The following is a 15,772-nucleotide window of genomic DNA, read 5'->3' on the forward strand; positions in this document are numbered from 1 at the left end:
TTTTTTTTTTTTTGAGACGGAGTCTCGCTCTGTTGCCCAGGCTGGAGTGCAGTGGTGCAGTCTCGGCTCACTGCAAACTCTGCCGCCCGGGTTCACACCACTCTCCTGCCTCAGCCTCCCGAGTAGCTGGGACTACAGGCGCCCGCCACCATGCCCAGCTAATTTTTTTTGTATTTTTAGTAGAGACGGGGTTTCATCGTGCTGGCCAGGATGGTCTCGATCTCCTGACCTCGTGATCCGCCCGCCTCGGCCTCCCAAAGTGCTGGGATTACAGGCGTAAGCCACTGTGTCAGGCCAGGGATGTGATTTCTTTTACAGCAGTAAGTAGACTGGATTGGAGGAACTCATAGTAGAGGAACTTGGAAGACATTCAGTCTCAGGAAAAAGGAGGCTCTCAAAGGAATTAATTATAAGCAGGGGATATAGGGGTATTGTGAAAGAAGAACAGATAAATCCCATTGTATGAAACAGTATGTAGAACAAGTGAAAGGAAAAGATGAGACAAGACAAAACATTAAGGTTTTAAACTTACATACCTCAGAGAATGAGGTCATTATCAGAAAGAGGAAACATTAAAGGAAGAGCAAGTATCAAGAAATGATGAGCTTGCTTTGAAGCACTCAGAGGACACGATGGGGAATCTCAGCAAGCACTGGGAGATGTATCTGGAGTGATGCAGAGATAATAGTGATAGAGATATTTGGGAGTCTGTATTCTACACTAAGGTAATACCTGATGCTAAGAATGAATAACCACCATCAGAGCATGTAGAGAAAACAAAATTCCAAGAGCATAACCTGCCTACTCTTTAGTGGGCAGGAGGGGAAGGCATGGTACAAATAAGACAGAAGTAGCACTCAGGTCAGAAGAGAACTATGAGATCACAGAAAGATATCAAAAAAGTGCTCAACAACATTATCGAAATGCTGAAAACAAATGGGAGTGATTTAAAGACTAAGACAAAGCTTTTGGAATCAGAGACTGGGAATCTACTAGTGAATATTAAGAGAGCTTCAGATCAGTAGTAGGAATAAACACAGAGAAGCTAAAATAACTTAGATGTAAGTGCAAGTTGAAAAATGAAGGTTGGGTATATTTTCAGGTTACGGAGAAGGAGCAGAAAAAGCCTAAGTAAAGATATACAAGACAGGATACTTGAAGGAACAAGATATCATGGAGAGGGCAAAAACAGGATCAAGGAAATGCAACTAAGGATACATAATACAGAAAAAAATGAGAAAAACGAGATTTGGAAGAGGTAAGAATGGTAAAATACAACACAATTTTGTGACGGGAGAAAGAAGAAACATAAAGAAGCCCAGAGAAATCTATTTTCCTGATGAAATGAGCAACAGTATAAAAAGTATTAAATAAATATTAAAGTGAACTAACCTGAGATAAAGAGGGAAAAGATTTAAAATGGAAACTTAAAATACTGTAAAAAAGATCTGGAGTAACTACTTTGGGAAACCCTAGAGGAACAACAAAAGATAATTAAAGAATCATTGAGCAGCACGAAAGGCACATATAAGATAGTCCATTAATTTCCCGTGGGTTTACCTGGACTAGGGTCAATGTTTGCTAACAGCTCCAAATGGGGTCTTAGTCGGTTCAAGTTTGCTGGGTCTCCAGTTCGCTGGAGAGCAATTGTTAGTTCCTGAACACTCTGTGCAAAAGAGGCTGGAGTCTGCAACTTAAAAAAGATAAATGTTAACTTTCCCAAAGGTCAGATAATCCTTTAAATATAAAGATTATTTATATCACAATCATTTTTGCGATTTATTAAATTTAATTTTTATCTTCCCATATACCCTACACTTTGGCCAGAGTAGATTACTTGCTACCCAAATAAATTCTGTACTTCTCTGCATCCAGAGCTTGGCACATTGTGTACTGTATTGCCTCTGCTGTCACATTCTTCAAATGTGAGACCTCTCTCAATTCAGCCTACCATCAATTAGATATACTGATGAGTCTTCTTTGTGAATTGTTAATTCCTGTTTCTCTCCCCATTAATTTACTAGAATTAGTGCTTTCCTCATCGCTTTTAATAAATTCTCTTTTCTATTATCCAATATGGTGACCTTGGCAATATGTGGCTATTTAAATTTAAGTTAATTAAATGAAATAAAAATTTCAGTTCATCCGTTGCAAAAGTCACATTTCAAATGCTTAATGGCCGTGTGTGACTAGTGATCACCATATTGGACAGTGCATACACAGAACATTTTCATGATTACAGAAAGTTCTATTGCTCTATAAAATATCACACACACTGCAAAGTTTACCAGTTTGTTGTGCAAAGGTCTCTGGATATTAAATTTAAAGCACTGCGTGTGATATGAGAAAATTACTGTAGGATATACACCTAGTTACACAGTTCAGTTCAGACAAGATTAACCACCTTGTAGAATCTTTATAAAAGACAAGCCAAGCCAGGCCAGGCACAGTGGCTCACGCCTGTAATCCTAGCACTTTGGGAGGCTGTGGTGGGCAGATGACGATGTCAGGAGTTCGAAACCAGCCTGGCCAACATGGTGAAACCCCGTCTCTACTAAAGATACAAAAAATTTGGGCGTGGTACAGGGTGTGGTAGTGCGTGCCTGTAATCCCAGCTACTTGGGAGGCTGAGGCAGGAGAATCGCTTGAACCTGGGAGACAGAGATTGCAGTGAGCCGAGATAGTGCCATTGCACTCCAGCCTGGGTGACAGGGTGAGACTCTGTCTCAAACAAACAAACAAACAAAAAAAGCCAAGTTTCTCTTCAGAGGTAGAAAGGTACTCCTCTAATAGATCATTACTAAGCGTTAAGCGTTTCCGTAAATTATAAATGAGTTGCAAAACTTCCGATACAAGCTCCTGTCCAAACCTAAGAGTTGCAGGTAAAGTCTGGTTAAAGGTATCCAGGGAAGACTTATAGAGCAGAGCAAACAACCTACATTGTAACTGAAAATTATGTACCGCCTTTTTATCCCCCCTAAAGAGACAGGGTCTCACTCTGTTGCCGAGGTGCTAACATAGCTCACTGCACCCTCAAACTCCTGAGCTCAAGGGATTCTCCCACCATAGCCTCCCAGGTAGCTGAGACTATAGGCGCCTACCACCACACCTGGCTATTTTTTTTTTTTTTTGGTAGAGATGAGTGTCCCAATGTTTCCCAGGCTGTGACTGAACTCCTGGCCTCAAGCAATCCCCCCACCTTGGCCTCTCAAAGTGCTGAGATTACAGGCATCAGCCACTGTGCCCACCCTACACCAAGCATTTAAAAAACATATTTCCCAATTCTCACTGTATTACCCATTCAAGGAATTCTATCTTTAGAAATAGGAAAAAAAAAAAAAAAAAAAAGGTGGGGGGGAATAGTCTGGTAAAAGGTTAGTGTACTCTACACTGAGAATGGTCAAGTTCAAATCCACTTCTGTCATTTATTATCTATGTGATGCTGGAAAAACATATTAACTTCCCTTTGTCTTTGTCTAAAATGGATAATACAGGGCTGTTGAGAGGATTAAATGAATTATTTAAAACCACTAGATACATATTAAGATTTTAGTAAATGTTCATTATTTTTTTTTTAGGTTACTCTTACTATTTGACTCTATTTCTCTAAATTAAATGTAGAGTGGTCTCTAGAGTTGGCCTTCATCTCTGTGATTCTAGTAAAAATACAATAAAATATAAAATAAGTAAAATAAAAAATATAAACTAATCAAATCTTTAAATGAACAAAGTGGTATTATAACGTGATTGGTTATGACATGACACTGGCTATAAATACAATTTACAAAAGCTATACAGTATTCACTTTAATATACATTTGTTAAATGAATTACCAAAATGCCAAGATTAGTCTAAGAAGTAAGGAACAAAAAAGGTCCTACCTTGTCAATAATGGACTGCATATGAGATTTGTGAGACTGGTCTCCATAAAGCAAAGAGGACCACTGGTCCGGTGCAATTCGTAAGCCTGCTTCCATAGCAATCTGCACTATCTGGGAGTCATGTTCTCGCCGCAGAGCTTCATAGGTTCTAAATTCTTCTTTCAGCTGCATCAAAGAAGAGTCTTCATCACGTTTGGTGACCTAATAAGACACAAATAATCTCATAATGAAGTCAAAAAAATGAGTTTATGCTTTATATGAACATATAATTTTTAATGTAACAAATTTAGCATCAACAGCAAGATTAAATGAATATACCATTTGCCTGCAAAATATTTTCTCCTTAACTTGTTGAGGTAGGTATATTGCTATCATCCCATTCTGAGTCAAGTTGGATTTAGGCCAACATTTTCTGGATAGGTCTTTCAGAAAGAATAAATACAGGCTGAGAATCTCTTACCCAAAATGCTTGGGCCAGAAGTGTTATCAGATTTCAGATTTTTTCAAATTTTAGAATATCTGCATTAAACCACTTGAGCATCCTTACTCTGAAAATCTGAAATGCCCCAATGAGCATGTGAGCATCATGTTGGTGTTCAAAAAGTTTTGGATTTTGGATTTTTGTATAGTCAATCTGTATGTGCTGGAATGAAATCCAAAGATTTGACATACTTTAACATATACATTCAGTTTAAGGTGTATGTGTGTGTATATGTATTTTTGAAAAGAAAAAAATACTAATACAATTCTATATTCTGAAAAACAATATGTTTCTTCTCCATAAATGTGGATTATGACTCTTGGGATTGCCTGACAATGAGCTAGGTGGGACTGATGACTGTAGAGCTTCAGATGCTGGTGTAATTCTAAAAATGATTTAATTTGTACTTGGCTTAATTCTTCATGGAGTTTTGTGGGATGGGCTACTACCAGAAAGTGTAAAGTGTGAGATGCTAGACTAGAATAATCATAATGATTATGATTAGAAGGCTGGAGGCAGGAGAATTGCTTGACCCAGAAGGCAGAGGATGCAGTGAGCCAAGACTACACCACTGCACTCCAGCCTGGGCGACAGAGCAAGACTGCATCTCAAAAAAAAAAGTCAGAAAAATAATACTGGATGTACAATAAATGATACATAGTGAGTAGCAATGTTTGAGGCGGTGCTTATTCAATTTGGGATAAGAGACTATGTCCAGCATTACCATATAAACTGAAATGGCAAATGGAACTTCATTATTGTATATGTGGAATTACACTAGGAGAAAATCTCTGAATAAAATTTATTTGGCTGGGCGCGGTGGCTCACGCTTGTAATCCCAGCACTTTGGGAGGCTGAGGCGGGCAGATCACCTGAGGTCAGGAGTTCGAGACCAGCCTGGCCAACATGGCGAAACCCCGTCTCTACCAAAAATACAAAAAGTAGCCAGGTGCAGTGGCCCTGCCTATAATCCCAGCTACTCGGGAGGCTGAGACAGGAGAATCGCTTGAACGCAGGAGGTGGAGGTTGCAGTGAGCCGAGATCATGCACTGCACTCCAGCCTGGGCGACAGCAAGACTTTGTCTCAAAAAAATAAAAATAAATAAATAAAATTTATTTGTGCTTCAATAACTCTCTCTTCAGACCAATTCTGCACAGTCTTGGTAAGAAATTGATATAGTTTCTTAGTCTCTTCAAATACAAAAATCTATAAACCTTGACTTGATCTATGTTGTTCAATATTGAACATACAAAAATTCAATATAATAGTATTTAACTATAATAAGACCCCATCTACATTCTTTAAAAGAATAAAGAAAAATTGCTGAGATTTTCTGAAAAGATACAGGCAACTTTATTAAACTCAAAGTTTTACTACTTAACTTTGGGGAAAGAACAATATTTCCTTTCAAGCTGAGCTTTAATGTAGGTTCATACCTTGAAACAGGAGGCTCTATAAAGGAGCTGAACAACATGCCCAATGCTAGTTTTAGAGGCTTGAGGAAACCGTGGCTCCAATCTTTGCACCACAAACAGAACCAATACTTTTCTTGACAAAGCAGAACCATCTTCTAAGGCCAGCAGAACCAACTTTAAAGCTTCCTCCTGCATTGCTAGGGAAAGTTGGGCAAAACCAAAATTTATCAAGTACATAGATAAGATAAATCCATTTATTAGAAGGGGAATATTTAATCATTTCTGCAGCTATTCAATTAACTGGCAATACAGTTAAGATTAACCAGCAACACACTTTTACACCATTTTTGTGAGCAATTTTGTATTACATTCTATATATTTTATAAAGAAAACAGATAAAGTGATTAATAAATTTAAGAAAAACTTCTATCAAAATGAATGAACTTCCTGCTACAGGTGTGAAAAAAAGGAAAAATCAAAAAATTAAAAAAAGAAACAACTTTTGGCATTAAGAGAAAAGTTTTAAGTTCACTAAGTTCACCTAGTAAGTCCACTAAGTTACATGGAATTGCCCAAGCCATGAACATCAAACAAGATATTAGTTGGTAACAATAAAATACTGCAAAGAACTAGGCTTTGTACATCACTTATAATTCCTACATCATACTTTTAGAATTACCAGCAGAATAAATACCTAAAGTTAATTATGTACCTGGTCCAAGGAACTGGCATCCCCTAGCCCTTACTGCTGCCCAAAGATTGGAAGAGAGTTGCTGAGGATTCTGGTGCTGGAGAATGAGCTCTGTAACTGTTCGTTCACCTAAAGATCGAGCTGCCCTCATGGCACGAATCCTGCCTTCTTCTTCTACTAGTTGACAGTGGACTAGAGTCACAAGCTTCCTCTGCATTGGGCGACTCAGAACACTCTGAGTAGTGCTGTTCAGACCCACTCCTTTAAAAGAGTAAAGAAGTTATTCCTAGGTTCACAATGCAATTTTACAGTCCAGGAGCAATTCTTCTGTTGGGTTAACTTGTGGGTATGTGACTAGTTCTGGGACTACTAGAGTATTTAAAATAAGCAACAAATAAAACCACACATGTAAAGCTTACTTAAGTATACATTTTTAAAGTATACAAATGTATACATGAGTTATCTCATGTGCACTTAGCATTCATTATGACATTAAATATACCATTACTCATTTTAATCATAGAGGAAGAAAGAAAAAAGGACTAGACAACATTGATAATTAGTTTATAATGTAAATCTTGAAGTCCTAAGAGTTCTGGTATATTATTTGACAGTGGTTAACCTTATTTTCCTAATTAAATAGCAAGCCCTTTCTGTGCAGTAATGGCAACTTCCGTATTCATTATACCGCCTATAGCATAGCATATAAAACTGGATAGAAGGCAAACCATTCAGAATTGTCAAATGATGGAAAGCACTGCTGAAGTAAGTAGTTATATTTGCTATTATCATCATTCGAATAATGTTTCCATCATCACATAAACTAAAAATTCACTATTTTATTTGATGTGGTTTGTGTCATGATATTTAGCACAAAATGAGTTTAGTTTACAATAGATAAATTTCATTAACATTTGCTTAATAGCTCACAATTTTTATGGTAACAAGTCTCTTTAGTAGACATTTACTTAGTATGGATAATTGCATCAAATTTACCTCTAGTTAGGTTTTTTGGGAATTCCTCAGGACTTATATAGGATTATGTACTGAGTATTTAAAAAAGCAGTTTTACTCTTTAAATAAGAAACAAAAACAAACTTACCTCTAGCACTGCTGAGCGGTTTTAAGTACAATGCTAATTCTTCTACACATTTCTTGGCTTCCTCATAATGCTTTGTGTCTTCAACCCCACTACACAAAGTAATAGGCTGCTGCTCAGGGACCTGGAGGCCAAAAGAAAAGATCTGTATGAGTGCTCAATTCATTAATTGTTTTATTTAGTATAGTTTATGCACTCATAATGCTGACACTGGTAACATCAAAACGCCCACTAAATTTACTGAATTCTTTCAAAAGATCTTTCCTATTAACATGTATCTTTGCATTCCTTTGTTTTGTTTCTCTAACAGCCTAATTAAGATATAATCGACATACCATACAACTGACTGGTTTAAAGTACATACAATTCCCTGGTTTTCAGTATATTCACAGTTGTCCAAACATAACCACAATCAACTTTAGAACCTTTTCATTACCCCAAAAAGAAACACAGTACCCTTTTAACAATTACCCCTTATTTCTTCCCAACCATCCACCAACCTTTGGAAAGACGAATCTATTTTCTATGGATTTGCCTATTCTGGACATTTCATATAAGCAAAATCAATACAATAAATAGTCTTTTCTGACTTACTTCTTTCACTTAACAATGTGTTCAAGGGTCTTCCAGGTTGTATCAGTACTTCATTCATTTTCATCACTGAATAAAATTCCATTGTATAAATATATCACACTTTATTTACACAATCATCATTGACAGACATATAGGTTGTTTCTATTTTTGACTACTACGAATAATGCTGCTATGAACATCTGTGTACAAGTTTTTGTGTAGACAAAAGTTTTTGTTTCTCTTTGGTATATACCTAGGAGTCTGTATTTAACCTTTTGAAAAACTGCCAAACTATTTTCCAAAAGCAGAGTAGCATTTTATATATCTACCAGGAGTGTATAAGGGTTCCAATTCTTCTACATTTTATGTAGAAAGATAATTCTTCTACTCATTATCTTTTTTTATTATAGCTATCCTGTTGGGTGAAAAGTAGTAATTCATTGTGGTTTGTCTAAATTTTATTTTAAATTAATAATAATTGCATATACTTATGGGGTACAATGTGACGATGTGAGATGACTAAATCAGGTTAATTAACAAATCCATCACCTCACTTTTTTTTTGTAGATTTTAAATAAAATCTACTCTTTTAGCAATTTTGAAACATACAATGTATTACTATTTATAGTCACTGTTCTGTGCAATAGATCACTAAAGGCATTCCTCCAGTCTAACTGAAGCTTTGTATTCTTTGATAATTATCTCTTCTTCCCATCTACCTTCCTCCCACTTCCCTGTGGTTTTGATTTGTATTTCCCTGATAGCTAATGATGTTGACCATCCTTTCATATGCTTATTATCCATTTGTATATCTTCTCTGGAAGAATATCTATTCAGATCCTTTGCCCATTTTGCCTAGTAAACTTTATTTTGTAGAACAGTTTTAGATTTACAGAAAAATGGCAAAGATAGTACACAGAATTCTCATTATCCTGTATTCAGTTTCCCCTATTATTATTATTATTATTTTTGAGACGGAGTCTCCCTCTGTCACCCAGGCTGGAGTGCAGTGGCACCATCTCGGCTCACTGCAACCTCCGCCTCCTGGGTTCCAGCGATTCTTCTGCCTCAGCCTCCCAAGTAGCTGGGACTACAGGAGCAAGCCACCACACTCGACTAACAATTTCCCCTATTATTAACATCTTACACTGGTATGGTACATTTGTTAAAATTAATGAGCCAATATCAACATATTCATAATTAACAACTAAAATCCATGTTAATCAGATATTAGTTTTCACCTAATGTTCTTTCTCAGTTTCAGGATCCCATCCAGGATACCATATTACACTTAGTCTTCAGAGAAAGAGTCTCGCTCTGTCACTCAGGCTGGAGTGCCGTGGCAGCATCTGGGCTCACGCCACCACACCCAGCTAATTTTGTATTTTATTGTAGAGATGGAGGTCCCACTACATTGCCCAGACTGGCCTCGAATTCCTGGGCTCAAGCCATCCACCCACCTTGGCCTCCCTCTCTCCCTCCATGTCTCTCCCTCTTTTTTTTTTCAAAGTTGAGACAAAGTCTCACTCTGTCGCCCAGATTGGAGTACAGTGGCACAATCTCGGCTCACTGCAACTTCCACCTCCCAGGTTCAAGAGATTCTCATGCCTCAGCCTCCTGAGTAGCTGGGATTACAGGCATGCGCCACCACGCCTGGCTGATTCTGTGTATTTTTAGTAGAGACAGGATTTCACTGTGTTGGCCAGGCTGGTCTCCAACTCCTGGCCTCAAGTGATCTGCCTGCCTTGGCCTCTCAAAGCGCTGGGATTACAGGTGTGAGCCACTGCGCTAGCCCTTCAATATCTCTTTAAGCTCCTCTTGGCTTGGACACTTTCTCAGACTTTCCTTGTTTTAATGACCTTGACAGTTTTGAGGAGCACTGGTCTGGTATGTTGTAGAATGCCCCTAAACTGGGATCTAGGATCTGTCATTTTTCTCATGAGTATATTGGGGTTATGGATTTTTGGAAGATCATAGGGGAAAAGTGCCATTTTTTATCACATCATATCAAAGCTACACACCACCAACACAACTTATTATTGCTGATGTTAAATTTGAACAGCTGGTTTAGTCAGTGTTTACCAGGTTTCTCCACTATAAAGTTACATAATCTCCACAAACTGTACTTTTTGGAAGGAGTCACTATGCGTAGCCCACACACATTCTACATCCTTGAGAGCAGAATATCTATGTAATTAATTTGGAATTCTGCACGGGAGATTTGTTTCTTTCTTCCATCTATTTATTCAATCATTTAATTGTATCGTGTAGACTCAAGGATATTTATCTTATACCTGGGTTATGATCCAATTCCATTTATTTTGTTGTTCAAACTGTTTTAGCTTTGGCCATTGAGAGCTCTTTCAGTTGGCTCCTGTGTGCCTTTGATATAGCCCCCATTACTCTGTGTATGTGTCTGTGTGTGTTTTGAATACTTCTCTATACTTTCCAGTGCTACAAGCTACTCCAGACTCATTTCGTGTATTTCCTGTCCCAGTCTTAGAATTAGCCATTTCTCCAAGGAACTCTGGTTCCTTTTATTGGAGAATGGTATTAGAAACCAAGATATGAATGCTATGTATGCACATTACTATTGGGGTGTTGTTCCTTCTAGGCCATCTTAGATGACAGACCAAGGAAATATGTCACTGTAATAACCCGAGATATACATTGTAATAACCCGAGATACACACGAGATATCTCGTATATCTATTTCTGTATATAACCATCTGTATCCATATCAAGCTAAAAATGAGTTCATACTGATGCCTCCAACTCCAATCCATTATCACATGAATCACTCTAACCTCTTCCTCCTTGTTTATCTGTTAACTGGCTCCAATCATTTCCCATTCACTTACTTAACTGTTCAATTCTAATATGTATTATACATACAGCAGTATCAGAATTAATTCGTACCCCCATGGGAAAAGACTAGAGTACACTGCTTATAGATAATATCTTTCTCTATCTTTAATCTTACACAATCTACCTTTCTCCTACACCCCTTTAGTGAAATTGTTTCATATACTTCAGATTGTCTTCCATAATCTTTGTAAAGTTCTACAGTTTTTGACAAATTCAGAGTGTCATATAGCCACAATTACAGAATCATAAAGAACTGTTTTACTGCCCTAAGAAATACTGTTTCACCAATTCTATCCTCCCTCCCTACTCCTGAATCCATGGCAACCACTGATACTTTTATTGTTGCTATGGTTTTACCTTTTACAGATATCACATAATTGGAATCATACAGTATGTGGCCTTTTCATACTGGTATCTTTCACTTAGCAATGGTATACATTGAGATATATCTATGTCTTTTTGTGACTTGACAGCTATGTCTTTTCATTATTTCATTTTATACAATGTGCCATTGTATGGATATACCACTGTTTATCCATTCACCTATTAAAAGATATCTCAACTGCTTCCATTTTTTGGCAATCATGAATAAAGCTGTTATAAATAGTCATGTGAGGGTTTCTGTGTAGACATAAATTTTCAAGTTAACTGGGTAAATACCTACTATGTTAAGCTTATAAAGAAACTGCCAAACTGTCTTCCAAAGTAGCTATACCATTTTTCATTTCCAAAAAGATGAGAGTTTTTGTTGCTCCATATCCTCACCAGCATTTGGTGTTGCTAATGTTTTGGATTTTGGCCATTTTAATTTGTGTGTAGTGGTATCTCACTTGTTTTAATTTGCAATTACTTAAAGACAAACTGCTGAGCTACTTTTCATTTTGCCAATTTTCCAACTGTATAATCTACTTGACGAGGTGATTGTTCAGCTCTTTGTCCATTTTAAAAACTGGGTTGTCTTTTTATCACTGAGTTGTAAGAGTTCCTTATATATTCTACATATAAGTCTTTATCAGAAATAGGATTTTACAATTGTTTTCTCACATTCTGTAGGTTGTTCTTTTTGCTTTCTTGTTGGTATCTTTGTTTTTTGTTGTTGCTATTGTTTTTGAGATAGGGTCTCATTCTGTTGCCCAAGCTACAGCGTAGTGCTGCGATCGAGGCTCACTGCAGCCTCCATCAGGTGATCAGGCTCAGATGATGCTGCCACCTCAGCCTCACAGATAGGTGGGAATACAGGCATGTGCCATCACACCCAGCAATTTTTTGTTGTTGTTGTTATTTTCTGTAGAGATGGGGTTTTGCCATGTTGCTTAGGCTGGTCTCAAATGATCCATCCATCTTGGCCTCCTGGGCTCAGGTGATGCTCCCACCTCAGCCTCACAGACAGGTGGGACTACAAGCATGTGCCACCACACCCAGCAAAAAATTTTTTTTTGTATTTTCTGTAGAGATGGGGTTTTGCCATGTTGCCTAGGCTGGTCTCAAATGATCCATCCATCTTGGCCTCCCACAGTGCTGGGATTACAGACGTGAGCCACTGTGAACAGCCAATTGTTCGTATCTTTGAAATATAGTTTTTAATTTTGATGTTCAACTTATCTTTTTCTTTTGTTCCTTGTGCTTTTTGGTGTCACATCTTGAAAAAAACCCACTGCCTACTCCATGGTCAGAAAGACTTATGTCTATATTTTCTTCTAAGAGTTTTGTAGTTTTAGTTCTTATATTTAGCCTTTGATCCATTTTGAGTTAATAGAGTAAATGTTTATTCAAGTTTTTTTTTTTTTTTTTTTTTTTTTTTGAGACGGAGTCTCGCTCTGTCGCCCAGGCCGGATTGCGGACTGCAGTGGCGCAATCTCGGCTCACTGCAAGCTCCGCTTCCCGGGTTCACGCCATTCTCCTGCCTCAGCCTCCCGAGTAGCTGGGACTACAGGCGCCCGCCACCGCGCCCGGCTAATTTTTTGTATTTTTAGTAGAGACGGGGTTTCACCTTGTTAGCCAGGATGGTCTCGATCTCCTGACCTCGTGATCCACCCGCCTCGGCCTCCCAAAGTGCTGGGATTACAGGCGTGAGCCACCGCGCCCGGCCTATTCAAGTTTTAAGCTACTTTTAAACAACGATTTGTAGTCTTCAAAATATAGTTTTACATTTTTTTTTTTTTTGACAGAGTCGCTCTGTCACCCAGGTTGGAGTGCAGTGGTGTGATTTTAGCTCACTGCAACCTCCCTCTCCTGGGTTCAAGCGAGTCTCATGCCTCAGCCCCGAGTAGCTGGGATTACAGGTGGGCACCTTCACACCTGGCTAATTTTTCTATTTTTTTGGTAGAGACGGGGTTTCACCATGTTGGCCAGGCTGGTCTTGGAACTCCTGGCCTCAAGAGATCTGCTAGCCTCGGCCTCCCAAACTATTGGGATTATAGGCATGAGCCACTGCACCCGGTCTAATTTTACATTTCTTTTGTTAAATATATTCTTAATTTTTTTTATGCTCTTGTAGATGAAATTGATCTATTTTCAGATTGTCCATTGCCAGCGTATAGAAATACAACATATATATTACTTATTTAACAGTCTTTATTAAGGGCCTATGTACCAGACAGTCTTTCTTACGTGTGTAAGAAAAGTATTATTATTATTATTTATTTTTTTTTTTTGAGACAGAGTGTCACTCTGTTGCCCAGGCTGGAGTGCAGTGGTGCGATCTCGGCTCACTGCAAGCTCCGCCTCCCGGGTTCACACCATTCTCCTGCCTCGGCCTCCCAAGTAGCTGGGACTCCTGCCTCGGCCTCCCAAGTAGCTGGGACTACAGGCGCCTGCAACCACGCCCAGCTAACTTTTTGTATTTTTAGTAGAGACAGGGTTTCACTGTGTTAGCCGGGATGGTCTTGATCTCCTGACCTCGTGATCCACCCGCCTCGGCCTCCCAAAGTGCTGGGATTACAGGCGTGAACCACTGTGCCTGGCCTAAGAAAACTGTTATTAACATACTGTGGATGAAAGTATGCAACACTAGCTGGGTACGGTGGCTCATGCCTGTATTCCCAGTACTCTGGGAGGTCGAGACAGGTGGATCACTTGAGGTCAGGAGCTTGAGACCAGCATAGCCAACATGGCGAAACCCTGTCTCGACTAAAAATACAAAAATTAGCTGGGTATGGTAGTGCACACCTGTAATCCCAGCTACTTGGGAGGCTAAGGCATGAGAATCACTTGAACTTGAGAGGCAGAGATTGCAGTGAGCCAAGATCACACCACTGTACTCCAGCCTGGGTGACAGAGCAAGAAAAAAAGAAAGAAAGAAATTATGAAACACTGTAAACACATTTTTACACCTTAGAAAGACTTTTGCTTTTTCAGACAACTGATACTTATATACTCATCTTATATCCTGCAACTCTGCCTAGTTTTTTGTTTCTAATAGCTTTTCCTTTGCAGATTCCTTAACATTTTCTATATATAAGACCATGTCATCTGTGAATGAGATTGTTTTTATTTTTTACTTCTTATCTGAATGTCACCGGTTTCATTTACTTGCCTAATTGCCCTAGCTAGAAGGTCCTGTATGATGTTGAACAGAAATAGTTAAGAGTGGAGATCCTTGACTTGTTCCTGATCTTACAGAAAAAGCATCTAGTCTTTCACCATTCAGTATGTTAGCTGTGGGTTTTTCATCCATGTCCTTTGGGTTGAAGAAGTTTTTCTCCTAGTTGTTTCAGTGCTTTTATTATGAAAAGGTATTGGATTTTGCCAAATGCTTTTTCTGTGTCTATTGAGATGATCATATGTGTGCAATTTTGCAACTTTTACTGATATAGTGAATTACATTAATTGATTTGCAGATGTTAAGTCAAACTTACATTCCTAGGAGAAATTGGTGATTATATATTTTAAAGTCTAATTTATTTTTTCTTTTTCCTTTTAGATGAAAGGAAAATTTGGGAAAATTTTATTTTTTTTATTGTGATAATATATACATAACACAAAATTTACCATCCCAACCATTTTTAGGTTTATAAAGCATTAAGTGTGTTCTAATGGTTCCCAAATGTTGTGCTATAGTTTTTGTCACCTTTCTCATCTTTCATTTCAGTTAATGTCTACTGAGTAAAACTGCCTGAAGCAGCTGCACCTTCTCTACTGAGTAAAGTGCAGTGGTTTTATGAACAATAGTTTTCTCAATGTTAAAAAAGGTCCTTATGACTTACCTCTTAGGTTTCTTTTCTTTTTTTGAGACAGGGTCTCACTCTGTCACCCAGGCTGGAGTGCAGCACGATCTCGGCTCACTGCAACCTCTGCCTCCTAGGTTCAAGCAATTCTCGTGTCTCAGCCTCCCAAGTAGCTGGGATTACAGGCACACACCACCACACCCAGCTCATTTTTTTGTATTTGTAGTAGAGACAGGATTTCACCATGTTGGCCAGGCCGGTCTCAAACACCTGACCTCAAATGATCCACCCGCCTTGGCCCTCCCAAAGTGCTGGGATTACAGGCATGAGCCACCACACCCGGCCTTAGGTTTCTCTAGCGATCTGCATAGCTAGGTTTATTGAATATCTGACAAGATTAAATGGATGTTACTGTACTATGACTAAAAAGCACTGGACTACCACAATAAATCTAACATGCTGAAATAAAGGATTTACAGTACCAAACAGAATTATACCTATTTAAATAGAAGGCAATGTTACCCAATTTTAATTCAACAGGTTTCTCTCAGGAGAAAAACACGCACAACACACACACACACACACACACACACACAC

The 15,772-nt window shown here is 38.4% G+C and overlaps 1 protein-coding gene across 20 annotated transcripts in view; it reads right to left on the bottom strand.

Moving 5' to 3' along the window:
- RC3H1 (ring finger and CCCH-type domains 1) overlaps window positions 1–15,772 on the bottom strand; it is a 91,274-nt gene that overhangs the window by 45,844 nt on the left and 29,658 nt on the right. For all 20 annotated transcript variants that reach the window (XM_047447096.1, XM_047447104.1, XM_047447095.1 and 17 more), the window contains 5 exons: window positions 7,572–7,692; window positions 6,491–6,730; window positions 5,800–5,975; window positions 3,882–4,082; window positions 1,561–1,693 (listed from right to left, as the gene is read on the bottom strand). In XM_047447096.1, the coding sequence (XP_047303052.1) occupies window positions 1,561–1,693; window positions 3,882–4,082; window positions 5,800–5,975; window positions 6,491–6,730; window positions 7,572–7,692 (871 nt within the window). The remainder of the gene's footprint in view (window positions 1–1,560; window positions 1,694–3,881; window positions 4,083–5,799; window positions 5,976–6,490; window positions 6,731–7,571; window positions 7,693–15,772) is intronic.

The sequence above is a fragment of the Homo sapiens genome, chromosome 1 (genome assembly GCF_000001405.40).
Source record: "Homo sapiens chromosome 1, GRCh38.p14 Primary Assembly".
Taxonomy (NCBI): domain Eukaryota; kingdom Metazoa; phylum Chordata; class Mammalia; order Primates; family Hominidae; genus Homo; species Homo sapiens.